This window comes from Homo sapiens, chromosome 5, assembly GCF_000001405.40.
Source record: "Homo sapiens chromosome 5, GRCh38.p14 Primary Assembly".
NCBI classification, from domain to species: domain Eukaryota; kingdom Metazoa; phylum Chordata; class Mammalia; order Primates; family Hominidae; genus Homo; species Homo sapiens.
The window spans coordinates 55,147,325-55,167,368 of NC_000005.10; the positions used below are offsets into that span (position 1 = coordinate 55,147,325).

The 20,044-nt window shown below is 40.3% G+C and overlaps 2 protein-coding genes across 12 annotated transcripts in view; one reads left to right on the forward strand and one right to left on the reverse strand.

Moving 5' to 3' along the window:
* CDC20B (cell division cycle 20B) overlaps positions 1-20,044 on the reverse strand; it is a 60,207-nt gene that overhangs the window by 34,354 nt on the left and 5,809 nt on the right. The window lies entirely within an intron of this gene.
* On the forward strand, positions 12,847-19,973 carry GPX8 (glutathione peroxidase 8 (putative)). Of its 9 annotated transcripts, none has more exons than NR_131336.2 (4): positions 12,847-12,919; positions 13,006-13,072; positions 13,670-13,931; positions 16,731-19,973. NR_131336.2 is itself a non-coding variant. In XM_006714631.3 (3 exons), the coding sequence occupies exons 1-3, from the start codon at positions 12,869-12,871 to the stop codon at positions 16,892-16,894; spliced, it is 633 nt and encodes a 210-aa protein (XP_006714694.1). In that variant the 5' UTR covers positions 12,847-12,868; the 3' UTR covers positions 16,895-19,973. The 9 variants fall into 9 exon arrangements, 5 of the variants coding, with proteins under 5 accessions (XP_006714694.1, NP_001008398.2, NP_001293126.1 ...); NR_131337.2 differs by having other exon boundaries at positions 13,728-13,931; NR_131340.2 differs by having other exon boundaries at positions 12,847-13,072; positions 13,680-13,931.

Sequence of the window (20,044 nt, forward strand, 5' to 3'; positions counted from 1 at the left end):
CATAAGTATGTTGTTTTATATATTTATATATTATATAAACATAAGTATGTTATGTTTTATATATTTATATTTATATATAAAATATGTTATATTTTATATATTTTTATATTGATATTTATATACAAAAGTTATATTTTATGTTTATATTTATAAAACATGTTATTTTATATGTATTTATATATAAAAATGTTACGTATTTTTATATATTTATGTGTAAACTGTTACATTTTTATATGTATTTATGTGTAAAATGTTATTTTTTTATGTTTATATGTGAAATATATTATTTTATATGTAAAATAGATATATATTTCTTCTATCTAAAAAACACCAAAATGCCACTACTTACTTAGAGCCTCTGCTCAAGGGTCTGTAGGTATACCAATGTAGTTTAGGGAGTAATTACATTTATAAATATTACCATTACATATCAGTGTAAAATATGACATATGATATAACACTATGTACTGAACATGCAAGATGTTTGTATGAAATGATAAAATTTCAAATCTGGATATAAACAGCAATTTTCTAGTCCAAACCCTTCATTTCACAGATGGGGAAGCTGAGGCCTAGAGAAAGTAAGTGATTTGCTCAACATCTGTCCATCTTCTCTAAGAAACACCAGGAGTTTGATATTTATAGAGCCTGTAGTAGTGAACCATCCCATGTAGCCATGTGAAATTAAAATGCAAGTGACAAACTGGAATTATCTTTTAATAAAATGACAGACAATTTAGATTAAAATCCTAGTCATAAAGAGCTCTTATAGAAATTGACAAGTTTACCAACTCAACAGAAAAACTGGGCCATAGGACATTAAAAAGACAATTCATAAAAGAGATATATAAATGCCCAAAAGATATTTAATCTCACTAGCAATCAAAGAAATGCAAATTTAAAACAGCAATGAGATGTTAGCAATAATTTTTTTGTGACAATCCCTGGTGTTGAAGGTGCCAAAAACAAACACTGGCATACACTGCTGTGGAGGTTAAATTAGTATCTGGAAAGGACTTTTGGACAATGTGCGTCAAAAGCCTTCATATATGTGCATAACTTCTACTGACCCAGCAATATCACCTCTAAGAATTTAAAAAAGAAATCAGCCGGCCGTGGCGGCTCATGCTTGAAATCGTAGCTCTTTGTGAGGCTGAGGCAGGCAGATTGCTTGAGCCCAGGTGTTCGGGACCAGCCTGGGCAACAAGACAAAACCCTGTCTCTACAAAAAATACAAGAATGAGTTGAGCGTGGTGGTGTGTACTTGTAGTCCTAGCTACTTGATGGGGCTGAGGCAGGAGGATTGCTTGCTGCAGTGAGCCGCATTGGCGCTGCTGCACTCCAGCCTGGGCGACAAAGTGAGACCCTGTCTCAAAATAAAAACAAAAAAAGAAAAAAGAAATCTAAGATATGAGCCAAGATGGAGAAAACATCCAGCATTTATTGAGTAGTTACTATGTATGAAACCATATGTACAGGGTTTTACACGTTTGTATTTAATCCTAAGAAACATCTGTGAAGCAGATCTTATTTACGCCCATTTTATCAGTGAAGAAACTGAGGCTTAGAGGTCAAGTGAATTGTCCAAGACTACACAGTAAGTGGCGATGCCACACCTGAGGCTCACCTGTCTGACCCCAGAGTCCAGGCTCTCAACTGAGAACATGAGGGTGTGTACTGCATTTTACATGTTTGTAAGTACAAAAAGATGTGAGACAGAGACTAAGTGTTTACCAGTGGAGAACTGACTAGGCAAACTAACAGGACATCTCTAAGAGGGACTGCTCTGCTGCCATCAGAAATGACATACATTAGGGAAATGTAAACTAAACCACACCAAAGCACCACTTCACACCCACGAGGATGGCTAGAATTTTTTTAATGGAAACTAATAAGCATTGGTAAGGATGCGAAGAAACTGGAATCTTTGTACATTGCAAGTGTACAGAATGTGAAAGGATGCAGTCATTGTGGAAGATTAGTTTGGTGATACCTCAAAAAGATAAACCTAGAATTACCACATGACCAAGCAAGTCCACTCATAGGTATATGTACTCAAACTCAAATTCATGTGCACATATGTTCATAGTAGCACTAATCACAATAAGAAGGTGCAGACAACCCAAACACTCATCAACAGATGAATGCATAAACAAATCATGGGACGTATCTACATATGCAAGTGATCTACATATCACTCCCAAGAGGAATGAGTTGCTGATACATGTCATAATCTGCATAAGCCTTGAAAGCATTATGCTAAGTGAAAGAAGCCAGACAGGAAAGGTCACATATTGTGTGATTCCATCTATATGAAATAGTCAGCACAGGAAAATCCATAGGCGGAGAACACAGATTGGTCATTGTCAGGGATTAGGGGAGGAGGAAATGGGGAGCAACTGCTTAATGGGTATGGAGTTTTCTTTTGAGGTGATGAAAACATTTTGGAACAAGAGAGAAGTGGTGGTTCCAGAACATTGGAAATACACTAAAGACCACTGAATTGGTGACTTAAAAGGTTATTTTTGGCCAGGTGCAGTGGCTCACACCTGTAATCCCAACACTTTGGGAGACTGAGGTGAGTTAATCACCTGAGGTCAGGAGTTCAAGACCAGCCTGACCAATATGATGAAACCCCATCTCTACTAAAAATACAAAAATTAGCCAGCCGTGGTGGCATGTGCCTGTAATCCCAGCTACTTGGGAGGCTGACAAGAGAATCGCTTGAACCCAGGAGGCAGAGGTTGCAGTGAGCCGAGATCGCACCATTGCACTCCAGCCTGGGCAACAAGAGTGAAACCCCGTCTCAAAAAAATAAATAAAAAATTAAAAAATAAAGGTTTTTTTAAATATGTGCATTTCACTTCAATAAAAGAAATCTTTTTAAAAATGGTAACATAGGATAATAGTGAATAAAACATGCAAATGCTTACAATATATTGCTAGCTGTAAAACAGGGACTATAAAAGAGTATTCCAATACAGTCCTACTTCCTAGCTCTAAATGAAAGATAGGAAGGGAATATGCTAGAATGTTGAAGCAGTAAGCATTGGTTCAGTTTGGGTTTTTTACTAAGCGTGTGTGAGGGTGCTGGCCCACCCTGCCTGCAGCCCCCAGGGGGCGAGGCCGGCTCTCTCTCCACTGCTGCTCTGTGCTCTCCCCACCAGCTGACCAAAGAGAACTTCTTTCGCAGAAGACAGGAGCCAAGAGGCTGAGGCCACAGCTGTTGTAAAGTGTTGTTGGGGGTCAGTTTTTCTGTCTTGTAGTTCTTGGTTTTTGAGTAGGAATGGGAAGGATGAAAAGAGGCTGTACATGTCAATCAGGCATCTCAATCTCAGAAACCTTGACTAGGGGGCAGCAGGTAAGGTGATGAGTAATGCCAGCCTGGATGAGAAGCATGGCCCACTCTGGCCTTCTTTTTTGTTTTGCTTTGTTATTTTGAGGCAGTCTCACTCTGTCACCTAGGCTGGAGTGCAGCGGCACAATCATGGCTCACCGCAGTCTCGACCTCCCAGAGCTCAAGCGATCCTCCTGCCTCAAGCTCACCAGTAGCTGGGACTACAGGTGTGCACCACCACACCTGGCTAATTTTTGTGTTTTTTGGAGAGACGGGGTTTCACCATGTTGCCCAGGCTGGTCTTTAACTCCTGGGCTCAAGCAATACTCCCACCTAAGCCCCCAAAAGTGCTAGGATTACAAGTATGAGGCCCCTCACAGGGCCACTCGAACTTTCATTTCCCCACTTTTTTATTTCTCTCCGCTAAGAAAAAAACCGCAGTACCAGCTCAGAGGCTTTGGGGTCTCAGCCCCAGAAACTGAGGGAATCTCTCAAACTTTAATGCTTGTGTTTTAGCCACAGCAAGAACACATTGAGACACATCGTCTCATTTCATAAAAGATATTAGAAATTTAGACTTTTCATATGAATTTTCCCACTTTTTAAAGTGTTCAACTGATTCTAATTTTTCAAAAAGACTGGAGGACTCAACAGAGCATGTCTGTGGGCCACATTCAGTGGGCTACATTTGCAACGGCTCCACTATGTCCAGGTAGCCCTTACCCTCACAGGTACCAAGAAAGGGAGGAGACACCGCATTGGAAGATAAACTTAGTTTGCAGAAAACATGGCAGAGGACAGAGACACTTGCTCAAAAGTTTCCTTAGAGCAAAATTCCAAAGAAATTCTAAACTTTAAATATACATTTTTAAAATTCTGGGTTTAAAAGAGGAAATTAAAGAATAATAATTGGATGCTATGTCAGCTATGTCTGCGAAAACAACATGAGAAGTTGCACGTTAACAATATCCTACCGCCTTAGCAGGTCTGAGTTTCTGTGATTCGTCTACCGTCACTCTGTCCACCCCAAATGTTTCCCACTTAGGATGTTCATCCCCAGTTTTCTGCCAGGGTAAATCCCAGCCACCTTCACTTCTGGGTTCAGCCATCAACTCCTTCAGGAAGGTGTCTCTGACATTCCCTTCCTCCCGATTCCAAACTAGATTAGGCAGCCAATGGTAGCTAAATAATGGTCCCTAGAGAGATCCAGATCCTAACCCCTGGAACCTATAAATGTTACTTCATATGGCAAAGGGGCTATGCAGATGTAAGTTCAGGATGAAGTTAAGTTGAGGTGAGGAGACTATTGTGAATTGTCAGGATGAGCCCTAAATGCAATCACATGTATCCCTGTAAGAGGAAGGCAGAGGGAGATGTGACTGCACACAGAAAAGGAGCAGCAATGTGACCAAAGAGGCAGTGACCGGAGTGATAGGGCCACAGGCCAAGAAATGCTGGCAGTCACCAGAAACCAGAAGAGGCAAGGAATGGATTCTCCACTAGAGCCTCTGGAGGAGGCCAGGCCCTGCTGACACCCCAGCTTCTGCCCAATGAAACTGAGTTTGGACCTCTGGCCTCCGTAACTAGAAGAGAATATGTGTGTCTAAGCTACAAAGTTTCTGGTAATTTGTTGCAGCAGCCCTAGGGAACAAATACTCAGCCCTGTGCTTCCACACTCACTGTGCATGCTCCAGCATGACCACCTTGTGCTAATAACATTTACCAAACACTTAATCCGTGCCAAGCCCTGGGATATATGAATCGGAGGGAGTGTCTATTTTAGTTTCATCACAACCCTCTGAAATAGGTACTAGTATTATTTCAGAATACAGAGTTGGAAGACAAATCTTAATGGGGTTAGGTAATTTTAGCAAGGATATAGAGCTAATAGGCAGCTGTACACTACATACAGCTGTATAGATCATTGTCTCTATGAATGGCACCCTCTGGAATATGCAGTGCACAACCCTCACAACCAACCAGAGCAACCCTGCCACAGTTTGAACTCTGACAAATCAATCTAGTCTAATCCCTATGCTAAAAAGCAGGTCTGCTCATATTCCACTTTTTTACTTTCTCTCCTGCTATATCATACACTCCTTAAGACCAGGGACTTTGTCTTTTATCTTACTATCCTCGGGACATTGGTATCTAGAAACCCCATAATGAATAAATAGATGAATCTCTTCCCCTAGAGGCAGTTAGTACTAAAAAGGCACAAGGCATTTGAGAAAGAATCCAGAGGCAAGGAAATAAGCTGTTTTCATCCTTCTCCATTAAGGAGAACAATTCTCAGGGCAGGCACGGTGGCTCACGCTTATAATCCCAGCACTTGGGGAGGCCAAGGCAGGTGGATGGCTTGAGCTCAGGAGTTCAAGACCAGCCTCGACAATGTGGCGAAACCCCATCTGAACAAAAAATACAAAAATTAGCTGGGCACGGTGGTGTGTGCCTATAGTCCCAGCTGCTCAGGAGACTGAGGTGGGAGGATGGCTTGAGCCCAGAAGGCAGAGGTTGCAGTGAGCCAAGATCGTGCTACTGCTCTCCAACCTGGGCGATATAGCCAGACCTTGTCTCATAAAAAAAAAAAAAAAAAAAAAAAGAACAATTTTCAAATTGTACAGAGTAAAATAAACATTTCTGCAGAAATTAGAGAATGAGATAAATGAAACAACAAAAGTGTATCTGGGCTTTTAAAACAAGTTCAAGTCTGTAGGGCCAAATAAATAAAACCCAGAGTAATGACAGCACTTTCAGAACCAATACTTGTTAGTGATCTATGAGCAAAACATGACAAATAAGAAAAATACATGCCCCCTGATAGATATATGTATTATTTTTCATGGTTCTCCAATAGGAGAAGCAAGTAACTAGTAATAAATTTGCTGCCAGTGTCCTAGATGGCACAAGTCAGCAGATCCACGTTAGCCTGAATAAATCCCCCCGGGGTGGACTGAAGGTTTAGTCTCTGGCCTTCTGCTATTCAACTTGTTATCAGCAGCTTGAATGGAGATTTATTTATCAAAATTGTTGATTACTCTAAGCTGAAAATATAGTTAAAATACTAAAGGACAGAATAGAATTCAGAATAAAGTCTGGGACAAGGGCCAAAGCAGCAAAATTTAATTCAATAAAGTTGCATGAACAATATTCTTATTTAGATTTTTTTTCTTCATTGCACAGGCATAAGATGGAAGAGAATCAACATGCAGTGAAAAAGATTGGCAGTGTTAGGCAGACCCCACTACAATATGAGCAAACAGTATGGTGAAATTATTGTAAAAAATCAGTACGATTTTAGGTCCCATTAACAGAAAAATAGTGTCCAGAACAGGAGCAATCTAAACTCTGTGTCTCTGCACCGCTCAGAACACATCTGGAGAACCACGTCCAGTCCCAGAACTGTTCTTCAAGAAGGGAGATGGACAAGTCAGGATTCGAACCCTGAGTTCATTTGGAGGAAAGAGACCACAGTGACAGGGGTCAAGGTAAACACCGTAATGGGACAACACCCCAGCACATCCAAGGGTGGAAACCTGGGGTGCTTAGTCTAGGAGAAAGAAGATTCAAAAGGGTCTGGCGCAGTGGCTTACACCTGTACTCTAAGCATTTTGGGGGGCCAGTGCAGAGGGGGAATCACTTGAGGCCAGGAGTTCCAGACCAGGCTGGGCAAGTGAGACCCCATCTCTAAAATAAAAATCAAAAAACTAGCTGGGCATGGTGGCACGCACCTGTGGCCCAGCTACTTGGGAGGCTAAGGTGGGAGGATTGCTTGATCCTGGGAGGTCGACGCTGCAGTGAGCCATGATCATGCCACTGCACTGCAGCCTGGGTGACAGAGTGAGACCGTGTCTCCCAAGAAAAAAGAAAAAAGAGGAAAACCCAAAAGGAACTGTCTTCAAATATTTAAAGGGATGCAATTTATGAATAAAAGAAAAACTTACTTTATATTGCTCCCTGTGATACAACCAGGACCCATGAAGGGGTAGATTCAATTCAGAGAACTTTGAAAGAGAGCACAGTTTGAATATAAAGTAAAATTCTCTCAGTCCCTGCACTAGGGACATATGGTTCATAGTGGTATAGATGAACACTAATAATTATGTATTTAATGTCATTTTATAATTTTTCAGGTTTGATGTAAAGTTTTCCTTAGAAAAATTAATTTTAGAAAAATAAATTGTATTTAAATACTCATTTGTTAGTATGAGTATTAAAATGTTAAGCAAATAAACGATATACAGATATGGCAAAATCACAGAGGTGGTACTCCTTCAATGACTGCAGTGAAGGAAACACTGCTGCAGATTGTGCTATTTCATCTTCAGTATTTTTAAACTTCTGTTCCAGGATCTATCTCCTGCCAAGGAAATGCCTGTCGCATAGTTTTGAATGACTCAAGTATTTATTAATAGAAAGGAAGAGGAAGATAAGAAAAGTAAGACAAAGAAGGGAAAAGGGATGAATGACTCGGTACTCCAAGCACATCAGTTCAGCTTGTTTACCTGTAGAGTTCACATCATAGTGACATTAAACCAGGAGGAATTCAGAGCACCAGTGCCAAAAATAATTAGAAAAGGACCCAGAGGGGTTAAAAATAAGGTCAGGAAGTAGCAGAATGAAACAACTGAGAAAATAGAAACAAATATGTCTACTGACAAATAATTTGACACACAAATATCCAGTGGGTTGGAAAAACCTAGACATCCCAGAAAAGACCTGCTGGCGATGCTAGTCTTGCTAGAACCTCAAGAGAAAGATAAAAGTAGCAAAGACAGCCCAGGTAGCTCTGAAGCATACCCCAACCCCGTTCCTTAACCTCTGAGTGTGTGCCGCTCCCACCCACCACCAGCCCAATGCAGCAGCATTCTGTCCACAAGATGTTTCAAATGTAGGGTCTCAATACTATTTCAAATTAGTCATGAAGACCAAAATGTTCATCGTCTCATGTTTGAACTTTCAACGCCCTCCCATCCTAGTAGGCAATATGACCCACACACTGTCAAGGTCATTTTCAGGTAAACATCATCCTTTATCTCTATCGCCAGCAGCTGCCCGCAGGGTCTACAGAGCATCTTTAGCACCCACCCCCTTCCTTCCATCATGCTGGCCAAGGCTACCTTCACTAAGACTCTTCGCCTATCATCTGGACCTGCTGCTCTGCAGACCTCCCGTGGCCCCTTCCAGATAACTTCAGTACACACAGAAAAGCCTTTTGGTGGTGTTCTCCATGCCTTCCCCTTTCTGGGCGCTTATACAGTGATTTCTTATAAAACAAAATGCCTCCTCACGAATGAAACCCCTTGTATTAGTCTGTTCTCATGCTGCTAATAAAGACATACCTGAGGCTGGGTAATTTATAAAGGAAAGAGATTTAATGGACTCACAGTTCCACATGGCTAGGGAGTCCTCACAATCATGGCAGAAGGTGAATGAGGAGCAAAGGCATGTCTTACATGGCAGCAGGCAAAAGCTTGTGCTGAAGAACTCCCATTTATAAAACCATCAGATCTCGTGAGACTTATTCACTACCACAAGAACAGTATAGGGGTAACTACCCCCATGATTTAGTTATCTCCATCTGGCCCCACCCTTCATATGTGGGGATTATTACAATTCAAGGTGAGATTTGGGTGGGGACACAGCCAAACCATATGACCCCTCCACCAGAGTACTACAGCCATCTCACCTACAATGTTTTCTTCTAAATAAATTTATTCACCTATTACACAGAAACAGTTTCATGAAGTTGAAATAATTTTGGTTATGAAGTCGAAAGTTCAAAACTCTATTCTTCATTGTTCCATTCACTAATTCTGTGATCTTGGCTGAGTTAACTGCTCCCTATTTCAAAGAATTACTGTGAAGAAGGTAATGTGTCTACTAAAGAAGATTGTGTGCAGTATAAAGCTCTCTAAAAACATAAGTCACTGGCCAGGCATGGTGGCTCATGCCTGTAATCCCAGCACTTTGTGAGGCCGAGGCGGGCAGCTCACGAGATCAGGAGTTCATGACCAGCCTGACTAATATGGTGAAACCCCATCACTACTAAAAATACAAAAATTAGCCGGGCATTTTGGCGCGTGCCTGTAGTCCCAGCTACTCGGGAGGCTGAGGCCGGAGAATCACTCAAACCCAAGAGATGGAGGTTGCAGTGAGCCGAGGTTGCACCACTGCACTCCAGTCTAGCCGACAGAGTGAGATTCTGTCTCAAAAAATAATAATAATAAATAAAAAAATAAGTCATTTATTTAGCACTCAGTTATTTACTGCCTTGTAATCCTTCCGTTTCTTGTGTGTTCTCATATTTCCAAAATTGCTTTTACAGTTGCATGAGGCTGGCTCCTTCCCTTGCACCTTATTTGTATCCTTTCCAGTGCTTGAGTTGGTTGATAACTGAGTCAACTACTTTATGCCCTTCTTGACCCAGTAGCTTCCTCTTGCCTTCATCATGAACTCATCAATCTCTTCTCCTCCTATAGAAGCCTTCCTTCATTTACTGAAAGAGCGCTGGTGGTTTTTCTAACATACTACCCCTTATGCAGAGAAATGTGCCATTTTGATATATGTATAGTCTGAGAATAGAGTTAGTATAGACAGAACATGAAAACAATAATGGTGGATCCCCAGAAGGCTGAGAGATGATGACATCAAAATGTGTGCAGAGAAAGACTGCCAAAACAACAAAGAAGAGGTGTGACAGGGCCAAAATCTGTGTTCATCCAATGCTGTCCAGCGCACAAGTTCTCCAAAGTGCTGTCTGAATGTTTGGTTAATGGGTCAGTATGAAAATTTATATATCATGCCTTCATTATTTGAAGCTCTTAAGCCTTAGGAACATTAAATTAACAAACTGGCTCTGATTTCATCCTTGACAGGAGATATACACGTAAGTTTTCAAAGTTGTATTCATATAATATGGAATTTTGTGGTGAAACCAACCTCAACATCAGGCCTGCATAATGTTTTATTTCTGGTGTAAAAACTGGCTTATTCAGCAATCACAAGCAAGTTTGTAACAGCATAATTTTGGCATTTTCAAATCCATTCATCTCTGGATCACTTGATAAGAGTTTCTGTACTTATAATACAATGGACTAGAAACTATCACAGTGATTTTATCAAAATAATATCACCCTAGGGGGCCCTGCCTAAGCGGTGGTCAGTCAACATCCCTGCCAAAGATAAATCACTCTCTTTCCACCTCAAAACACAGTTATAATGACTTGGGTTTACACGGCTCAAATTACAGCAGGTATTCTATGAATTAATTTTAAAATGCATGTTCCTAAGCCATTTGCTTGTACAGCCTGAGGAGTTAAAATATCTCGTGTATTCATAGAGACATGAACACATCCACTATGGAAAACAAAGACAAACCAAAGACTCTTGTTGCTCTGAAACCAAAAAAAGTTTGAGGTCTAAAGGTTCTCAAACTTAAACGTGTGTATGTGTCATGAGGAGATCCTGTAAAAGTACAGATTCTGACTCGGGAAGTCTGGGGTGGGGCCCAAAATGCTGTGTTTCTAACAAATGCCCAGGTGATGGTACTGTGGAAGGTCCCAGATCCCACTTAGAGAGCAAGGCCAGAGAGCTTAAGCAACATAGCAGTGTTCATGTCATATAAACACAGGGACTTTGACTTTTTAAACAATTCAGCCAGAGAACACCAAAGTAAAATTATCAGGAAGTGATACAACACATCTTACATACATTTTTGTTCTTTACTAGGAATTATGTTTAAAAGGGAATACTTTCTGCATAATCATTGCTTTTTCTACTGTATCCATTCTTACTGAGCCATGAGAGTAGGAGTCGAGCGGTTCCTCTCACAAGTTTTACACAGTAGGCTATGGGCTTTGCTCAGCCACCCGAAAACACACATGCCACAGAGCGGGAACCAGAAGAGCAGGCAGCACCCTGAGCACCCTCTCTGAAGCTCCACAAGCTAACAGTGACAGGAAGGGCACTCCACAAACATCTCAGCTCATTCCCTGCACTTTCTGGAAACACATCATGATCAAATGGCATAATGCCCCTTCATCCAGATCTTGCCATGAGTCTTAAACAGAGCAGAATTGAAAGTGAATGGCTTTTAGGATATACAGCCCTCAATTGCCTCCCCATACCTACCCCTAAAATTCATGACCGTTAGCAACAGCAAAGTTAGGCCCCCTGTGCCAGGCAACAGCCAGGGGAGGGAAATAAAGAGAAAAAACGAAGCAATTAGATGACGTGCCCAAGTAGAGGTGGGTTTTGCAGGGTTTGTTTGTTTTCAGGGATTTTTTTTGGTAGAATTGCCTTATTTAACTGTTAAATTACTACTTTATTATCGAGTTCAATTTTTGCTTTTTTCCCTCTTCTTCTTTTGTTCTGATTTTAAGATAGTCTCACTCTGTCACCCAGGCTGCAGTCTACAAACACGACTCACTGCAGCCTCAACCTCCTGGGATCAAGCGATCCTCCCACCTTTGCCACCTGTATAACTGGGACCACAGCCATGCACCACCACAACCAGCTAATTAAAATTCTTTTTTAGAGACAGGGGTATCGCTTTCTTGCCCAAGTTGGTCTTGAACTCATGGGCTCAAGTGATCCTCCCATCTAGGCCTCCCAAAGTGCTGGGATTACAGGCGTGAGCCACCATGCCCGGCCTCAGTTTTTTCCATCTACAGGTTGTAGTGCATCGGTGAATGATGAAATCATTTTGATAGGTCAGAACTGGGTTGTTTAAAAATGCAACAGGTGGGGGTGCATCACAGTTCAAAGGAGAAGTGTTGTTTCTCAGTTGTGTGTTGTTTGTACCCAGTTATGTTGTAAAGTGCACTGCTGACTGGGGGTCATGAGTAGAAATTTGAAAAACACTGGACTATAGTTTGCTCTATGATAGAGAAGGGTTTCTTTTAACACCTTCACTGTTTTTAACATATTTATTTTGACTGTATTCACTTGGTATTTGATTGCCTTAGCTAGATGAATCAGGGTAAATAGCCTTTTTCAGATATTTCCCTGCTCTTTCCACTATAAATTTCCTGAACTCATATAGCATGTTTAACCCATACATGTAATAGTAACGTCCTTCAGGGTATACACCATATGAGTAGGTCACATTTAATCTACATTCTAAACTATTGCTGAGCATCGTACTCCATCCTCTGCATCCAAACAGTTGCTCAATAAATACACAGCTTAGCATGGGGAATGAGCCCTCCGTAGCTTTCGAGTTACAAGAGCACCATCTTCTGGCGAAATATTTTCTTTGTAGGGAGAATGTCAAAGACCTACCAAAAATGTCCTGATTTTTCTAGCAAAAATTATAATTACATCACAAATACTTTGAAATTCTGTAGAGCTCCTTGCTTCATTCAGGAGTTTCGCTTCATTTCCCCTCTGAGAAGTGGTCTTTCTGTTCCTTAGCAGTGAAAGCAGTCAGCCTGTCCTTCCTGGTTTTCCGTTAAACTAAGCCGGTTTCAAGTTTCAGCTCCTCCTTGAATTCCAGGCTGCTGAGACTTCCCTCTAGAATCCTCCAACATGGAGCCTCTTGCAGCTTACCCGCTAAAATGTTCCGGGCCCAGAGCAAAGGTATTTGCAGTTTTGCTGTCTATAGTTCTATGCACAGTAACGCTATTTCTTCTACAACTAAAATTCCTCAAACCTAAAATCAACAGCTTTTATGCCTTTGAAGTGAAGGATGCAAAAGGAAGAACTGTTTCTCTGGAAAAGTATAAAGGCAAAGTAAGTTGCATCATCTGATTTTTATTGTTATCATTTTTCCTTGTCTCTGTTTATTCCTCTTAATAAAATCAATTTTTTGCTGTTACATGGTCATAAGTTGGAATTTAGTCTTCAGAGTAATGGTATTAGTACATCACTTTAGTTATTACAGTTCTGATAGTTTGCTTCTAAATAATAAATTCCGATTATCTCGTTTTCTTTAAAATGCTTTAATTTTGTGCTGAATTGACATGTAAAGTTGTTTGGAAAATACTTATAGTTAGTAATGTGAACATGATGACATTTATTAATAAAAGTATTGGTTCTATAATCTAATAACTTTAAAAAGAACTTATCAAGGATCATAGTTTTATCTTTAATTTAAAAATAAACTTTCATGAGTATCTAATGCTTTTTTAATGGCAGTACTATTTCAGGGCCTTAACCCAGGCATCTAGGTTACAGTTTTCAATAGAACTGTGTATGTCCAAAAATATGAAAAAAACATCAATCAGAGGTTATAGTCCCCCCCAAATTGTTTAGGATTTTAACTACTTGCAGAATTTTTTAAAATCTTTTGCTTCACTTTCCGGTTGGATTTTTTTCTTTTTCCGGGAGGTTTCACTAGTTGTAAACGTGGCCAGTGACTGCCAACTCACAGACAGAAATTACTTAGGGCTGAAGGAACTGCACAAAGAGTTTGGACCATCCCACTTCAGCGTGTTGGCTTTTCCCTGCAATCAGTTTGGAGAATCGGAGCCCCGCCCAAGCAAGGAAGTAGAATCTTTTGCAAGAAAAAACTACGGAGTAACTTTCCCCATCTTCCACAAGATTAAGATTCTAGGATCTGAAGGAGAACCTGCATTTAGATTTCTTGTTGGTAAATATCTGCCTTGCATATGCTGTTTTAAATTGCTTTTCATTTTTAAACAATTATACCAGGACAATACTTTCCTATTTCATTTGAAACGTTGTATCGGGAAAGCTTCATAAAACTATCATCAAAGAGCCAGAATCTCATCCTTTGTAACTTCTAGGAGTTATGCTCCCCTGAAATCAATGTTTTAGCTTCTTAGATGGTAAAAGAATTCTATTCCAATATATTTTATTCCTTATTACCATCTTCCTGAAGAATTTACTTAAAGTGTGCCCATGGCTATTTTCACAAAATATCTTAATTCTCCTCTCTTGTAACTAGCATCTGGAGAAATGTCCCTTCCCGTCATTATAGCCACACAGCTCTCATGAATAGTGCTGGGCATTATTAGTTAACATATGTTTGTGGCTAATTTTATGTTGTCTTTCTTATCTGAAACAATATTCTCAAAGATGAATATGTCAGCTTACCAGATTTTTGCTAAAATCCAAAAACATATAACTTGGTTTTTTCAGAGGGCAGTAGTGTTAGGCTATTTCTCCAATTAAGCTAGCTACAGAAATCTGTTTAAAGACTTGCCAAGGTCACTTAGCACAAAGGTCATGAGGCATACAGACAGCATAGGCTTTGGCCTCAAGCTACCTGGGTTCAAACCCCTGCTCTTTTGTTTTTGCTATGTGGCTTCTTAACTTCTCTGTGCCTGTTTCTCATTTGTAAAATGGGCTATCAATAGTACCGCCTTCTTAAGATTGTTTGGAATTAAGTCTGTTAATAGTAAAAATAAAGTACTTATACACTGCTTGCTCTGTGCCAGACACTGTTCTAAACCATATTAGTCAAAAAAAAAAAAAAAAAAAAAAAGGCCGGGCGCGGTGGCTCACGCCTGTAATCCCAGCACTTTAGGAGGCCGAGGCAGGCAGATCACTTAAGGTCAGGAGTTAGAGACTAGCCTGGCCAATATGGTGAAACCCCATCTCTATTAATAGTACAAAAATTAGCCAGGTGTGGTGGTGGGCACCTGTAATCCCAGCTATTCAGGAGGCTGAGGCAGGAGAATCGCTTGAACCCAGAGGCAGAGGTTGCAGTGAGCTGAAATCGCGCTACTGCACTCCAGCCTGGGCGACAGAGCAAGCCTGCATCTTAAATAAATAAATAAAGGACATTAGCTAATGTTCTCTCATCTAACTTATTCTGATGACATCTTCAGTCCTATTTTCACTGTAAATAAGTTGAGTTTTGATCAAACTATTACCTCACTCAGGCAATCAAGCTTCTAATCCAACAAACCAAATAGTGATCTATAATATTTCACATAAATGTGAAGTCAGAATCTTCTAAAAACATTATATTTAATTTCTAGGGAAAGTTGATATAATGCCTAACGCCATAAATGGCAACCACAGTGAGGTCTTTATTCCTCTTATTTTGAAGGTCCACTGAGGAAAGAAAAGCCCAAGCACATGCCATTGAACTAATCATTCTTCAGTTACAGCAGCCAGATACGTGGGTGCAATAGCTCATAGGTTATTTCTCTTTATCACTACAAACCTTCTAAAACCCTTCTTAGCCTGTGTAATCAAAAAGGTAACAGTGAGTTAAGGTGTCATTCCACTTAGATAGGAAGGATCATAGAGCCCAAAGGTTAAGAGCATGAGCTCTGGAGTAAAAGGCCCGTATATCAATCCTGGCTCAACCACTCATTAGCCACGTGACCTTGTGTCTAGGCTTCCATTTATCTCATCTGCAAAACGGGGATGATAATAATACCCACCTCATAGGGTCCCTGTAAGATTAAAAGAGAGGATCAATTTGAAGCACGGAGCGTACATTAATCTGGCACATAGTAAGCACTTCATAAATTTTAGTTATAATTATTATATTTTTCCTCATGTTAGTCAATAAAATGAACATAAATCTTGAGTGGTATAAATAGAAAAAAAATCTACATTTCTTACATAAATTAAGATTTATCAAAAGGATATCATGGCTGGGCATGGTAGCTCATGCATGTAATCCCAGCACTTTGGGAGGCCAAGACAGGAGGATCACTTTAGTGCCCAGGAGTTCAAGCCCATCCCGGGCAACACAGCGAGACCCTGCCAAAAAAAAAGTTATTGCTTTTCAAAATAAGGTGATTATTCACTTTGGGAGGCCAAAACCCTATCTCTACTCAAAATACAAAAATTTGCCTGGTGTGGTGGCACACACCTGTAATCCCAGCAATTTGGGATTACAACTTTGCTTCATTTTTTTTGGCTTTTAATTTTATTTGACACAGAGTTTCACTCTTGTCCCCCAGGCTGGAGGGCAGTGGTGTGGTCTCAGCTCACTGCAACCTCCACCTCCCAGGTTCAAATGATTCTACTGTCTCAGCCTCCCGAGTAGCTGGGATTACAGGTGCACACCACCACACCCGGCTAATTTTTTGTATTTTTAGTAGAGATGGGGTTTCACCGTGTTGGGCAGGCTGGTCTTAAACTCCTGATCTTAGGTGATCCACCCGCCTCAGCCTCCCAAAGTGCTGGGATTACAGACTGAGCCACGGCTCCCAGCCTACTTTGCTTCATTTCTTGATACTAAGATCACATACTAGATGAGTAGACTCATAGGTGAAGTCATCAAGTATATTGAAATCTGGTTACTCTAACCTTGAGTTTCACTTCGTTTGGGTGTTTTGTTTTTTATATTATGACAGTCCTAGAACTTGATACTAAAGTTATCATTTATGCAGATACTAATAGAAGTGAAAATCTTGACAAAGAATAAAATTATGCTCATGAAAATATGTTCTGGATATTTTAGATTCTTCAAAGAAGGAACCAAGGTGGAATTTTTGGAAGTATCTTGTCAACCCTGAGGGTCAAGTTGTGAAGTTCTGGAAGCCAGAGGAGCCCATTGAAGTCATCAGGCCTGACATAGCAGCTCTGGTTAGACAAGTGATCATAAAAAAGAAAGAGGATCTATGAGAATGCCATTGCGTTTCTAATAGAACAGAGAAATGTCTCCATGAGGGTTTGGTCTCATTTTAAACATTTTTTTTTTGGAGACAGTGTCTCACTCTGTCACCCAGGCTGGAGTGCAGTAGTGCGTTCTCAGCTCATTGCAACCTCTGCCTTTTTAAACATGCTATTAAATGTGGCAATGAAGGATTTTTTTTTAATGTTATCTTGCTATTAAGTGGTAATGAATGTTCCCAGGATGAGGATGTTACCCAAAGCAAAAATCAAGAGTAGCCAAAGAATCAACATGAAATATATTAACTACTTCCTCTGACCATACTAAAGAATTCAGAATACACAGTGACCAATGTGCCTCAATATCTTATTGTTCAACTTGACATTTTCTAGGACTGTACTTGATGAAAATGCCAACACACTAGACCACTCTTTGGATTCAAGAGCACTGTGTATGACTGAAATTTCTGGAATAACTGTAAATGGTTATGTTAATGGAATAAAACACAAATGTTGAAAAATGTAAAATATATATACATAGATTCAAATCCTTATATATGTATGCTTGTTTTGTGTACAGGATTTTGTTTTTTCTTTTTAAGTACAGGTTCCTAGTGTTTTACTATAACTGTCACTATGTATGTAACTGACATATATAAATAGTCATTTATAAATGACCGTATTATAACATTTGAAAAAGTCTTCATCATTTTCAGTATTTCTCTCTGCATTATTTTTTAGAAGCAACTCAAATTCTGTAATCATAATATTACCAAGTAAGTCAGTCTTTATTTTTGCGTGAAAATCCCAAGTGTAGAAAAAAGGACATGAGTATAAGATCATTTAACTTGATTCCTTATAGGCTGATTTGGGTTGCTAATGTATTCGTACTAGATTAGCCACTTGGGAGGAATTCAATGCTGCATCATTCTGATAGCTGAAATAGTAAAAGTCAACTCCAAACAGCCTAAATTCTAGTATAAAAAGGGGGTGATCATACAAGTCCTAAAGTGTAGATCAGCAGTCACTGAACCTCTTAGAGTCACAAGGCATTTCTTCTCCCAAAGTCATGACCTTTATATTTTGTTAGCCTTATAATTGACTAACAAAGCAACCTGCCAAGTTGGTGAAGGTTAATTATTGCCTCATGAAATATACATTCATCGCATAAAAGAATTAAATAGGAAGATGGCCAAAAATGTAAAAAAGTCGTATAAATTTGTCTAAGAAGAAAAAGACCCAATTTAAGTAGTCTGTGACTTGACTCCCAAATTCTGACCTGATGGATGAAAGTGAAGATGTTTCGTATGGCAAATTCAGTAATGCTACCTCAGTATATAGTTCTGTATACGTATTTGGACCAAAGTTATTAGATAAACCAAAAATATTTCATGAAGCATCTTCTGCTTCAGAGTCCATATCCAGCCACCCAGCTATGAATGTATTTAGAAAGATATTTGGTGGAGGTGGAATTTCTACCAGAGGTCAAGAGGATTTGTAGGGATAGCCTCAAGAATGCCAGATGAGTGTGTCAGAAAGCCTGCTCCTACCTCTCGCCAGCTGCGTGACTTTAGGCAAGTCACTTAAGTACCTTATTTCAGTTTCCTCACCTGTAAATTGAACAGGGGTTGAATGGAATAAAAAGCCCTTTGCAACTCTAAAAGTCAATTAACACACTTACTAAGGTGTTTTAAGTGACCAGGAAGGAAATCAGAACTAACCTGGATTGTTAGCGAAGAAAACAGAAGCCACCAACAAGCCTATCTGTCCTTTGCAATTTTGCTCCAAGAGCCTATTAGCAATTTGAATTCTGAGCCTCTAAGAAAACTTATGCTCAGGTGGCCCCTCCAAGTGTTGGTGCCAGAGCACTCTTGCCTTGTATCCTCACCTACGCCTTCCATGAACTCATAGCAGTGCTGTGGCACTGCAGGGGTGTTTTATGCATTCACGTTAGGAGCATGAGCAGAACTGCATATGCCAGCACCACATGGGCAGCAGAGACTCCCCACTGCCAGATGGATGATAATGGAGCTGCACTGGGAACAACCAGGACTGTCCCAGTCAACATGATACAGATGAACATCCTGCCTTAAGTCACTAGCTCTCTCCAAAGCCAGATAAAGTGGGTTTCTTCACTTACATCTCTCTAATCTTGGCTGCCTTATTCAACCTACAGACTCTATGTCAGTGCTGGATTTTCTCCCCTTGCCCTTTAGGTAAGCAGAGTAGGCAGGAGGAGATTTGAAAGCGTGTCATACATATTGCCTTGAAAGAAAGGACATTCAGGTGTCCCTTCGGGGTTCTGTAACAATTAGGCTATGTGTGCTGAGAGAGGGAGCGGAGTCATTTGCTGATGTGCTGCTACCTGTAACTCAAATGCCTCATAGGAATACCAGCGGACAAACACATAGAGGAAAAGTTGAATCTTTCCTATATTGGACAATCTTCCTTCAGTCTTGTTTCTGCATCAAAAAGTCTGGGACACAGAGTGCTACAGGATGCCTGGGCTAAGGACTGTAACAGAAAAATATCAACATCAGAGCCTGGCACAGTGGCTCACACCGGTAATCCCAGCACTTTGGGAGGCCGAGGCGGGTGGATCACTTCAGGTCAGGAGTTCGAGACCATCCTGGCCAACATGGTGAAACCCCCATCTCTACTAAAAATACAAAAATTAGCCGGGCACGGTGGCACATGCCTGTAATCCCAGCTACCTGGGAGGCTGAGTCAGAAGAATCACTTGAAAACAGGAGGCTGAGGTTGCAATGAGCCAAGATTGCACCACTGCACTCCAACCTGGGCAACAGAGCGAGACCCCATCTTAAAGACCCTGTCTCAAAAAAGAGAGAAAAAGAAAAAGAAAAATATCAGGCATCACATGAAAGAGTATTCAGCTGTCGTTCTTGTGAAAAAGGAAAAGGACAAAATCAAATGCATTTTAACTGTGGTAACTAATTCACTGACTTGAAGTTTGCTTTGTTTGTTTTCTTTGGTGCGTAGAGAAGAATACTTCATACTAACTCCTGATCATCTTACAGCAGACATAACAACAGAGTGTTAGAGACTGGAATAAATATGAATTTGGCTGAAATGTGCCCTGAAAGTTGTATTTCATTTTTTTAAATGTTTAACAATTACACTGTATCAATAGTATATATACGT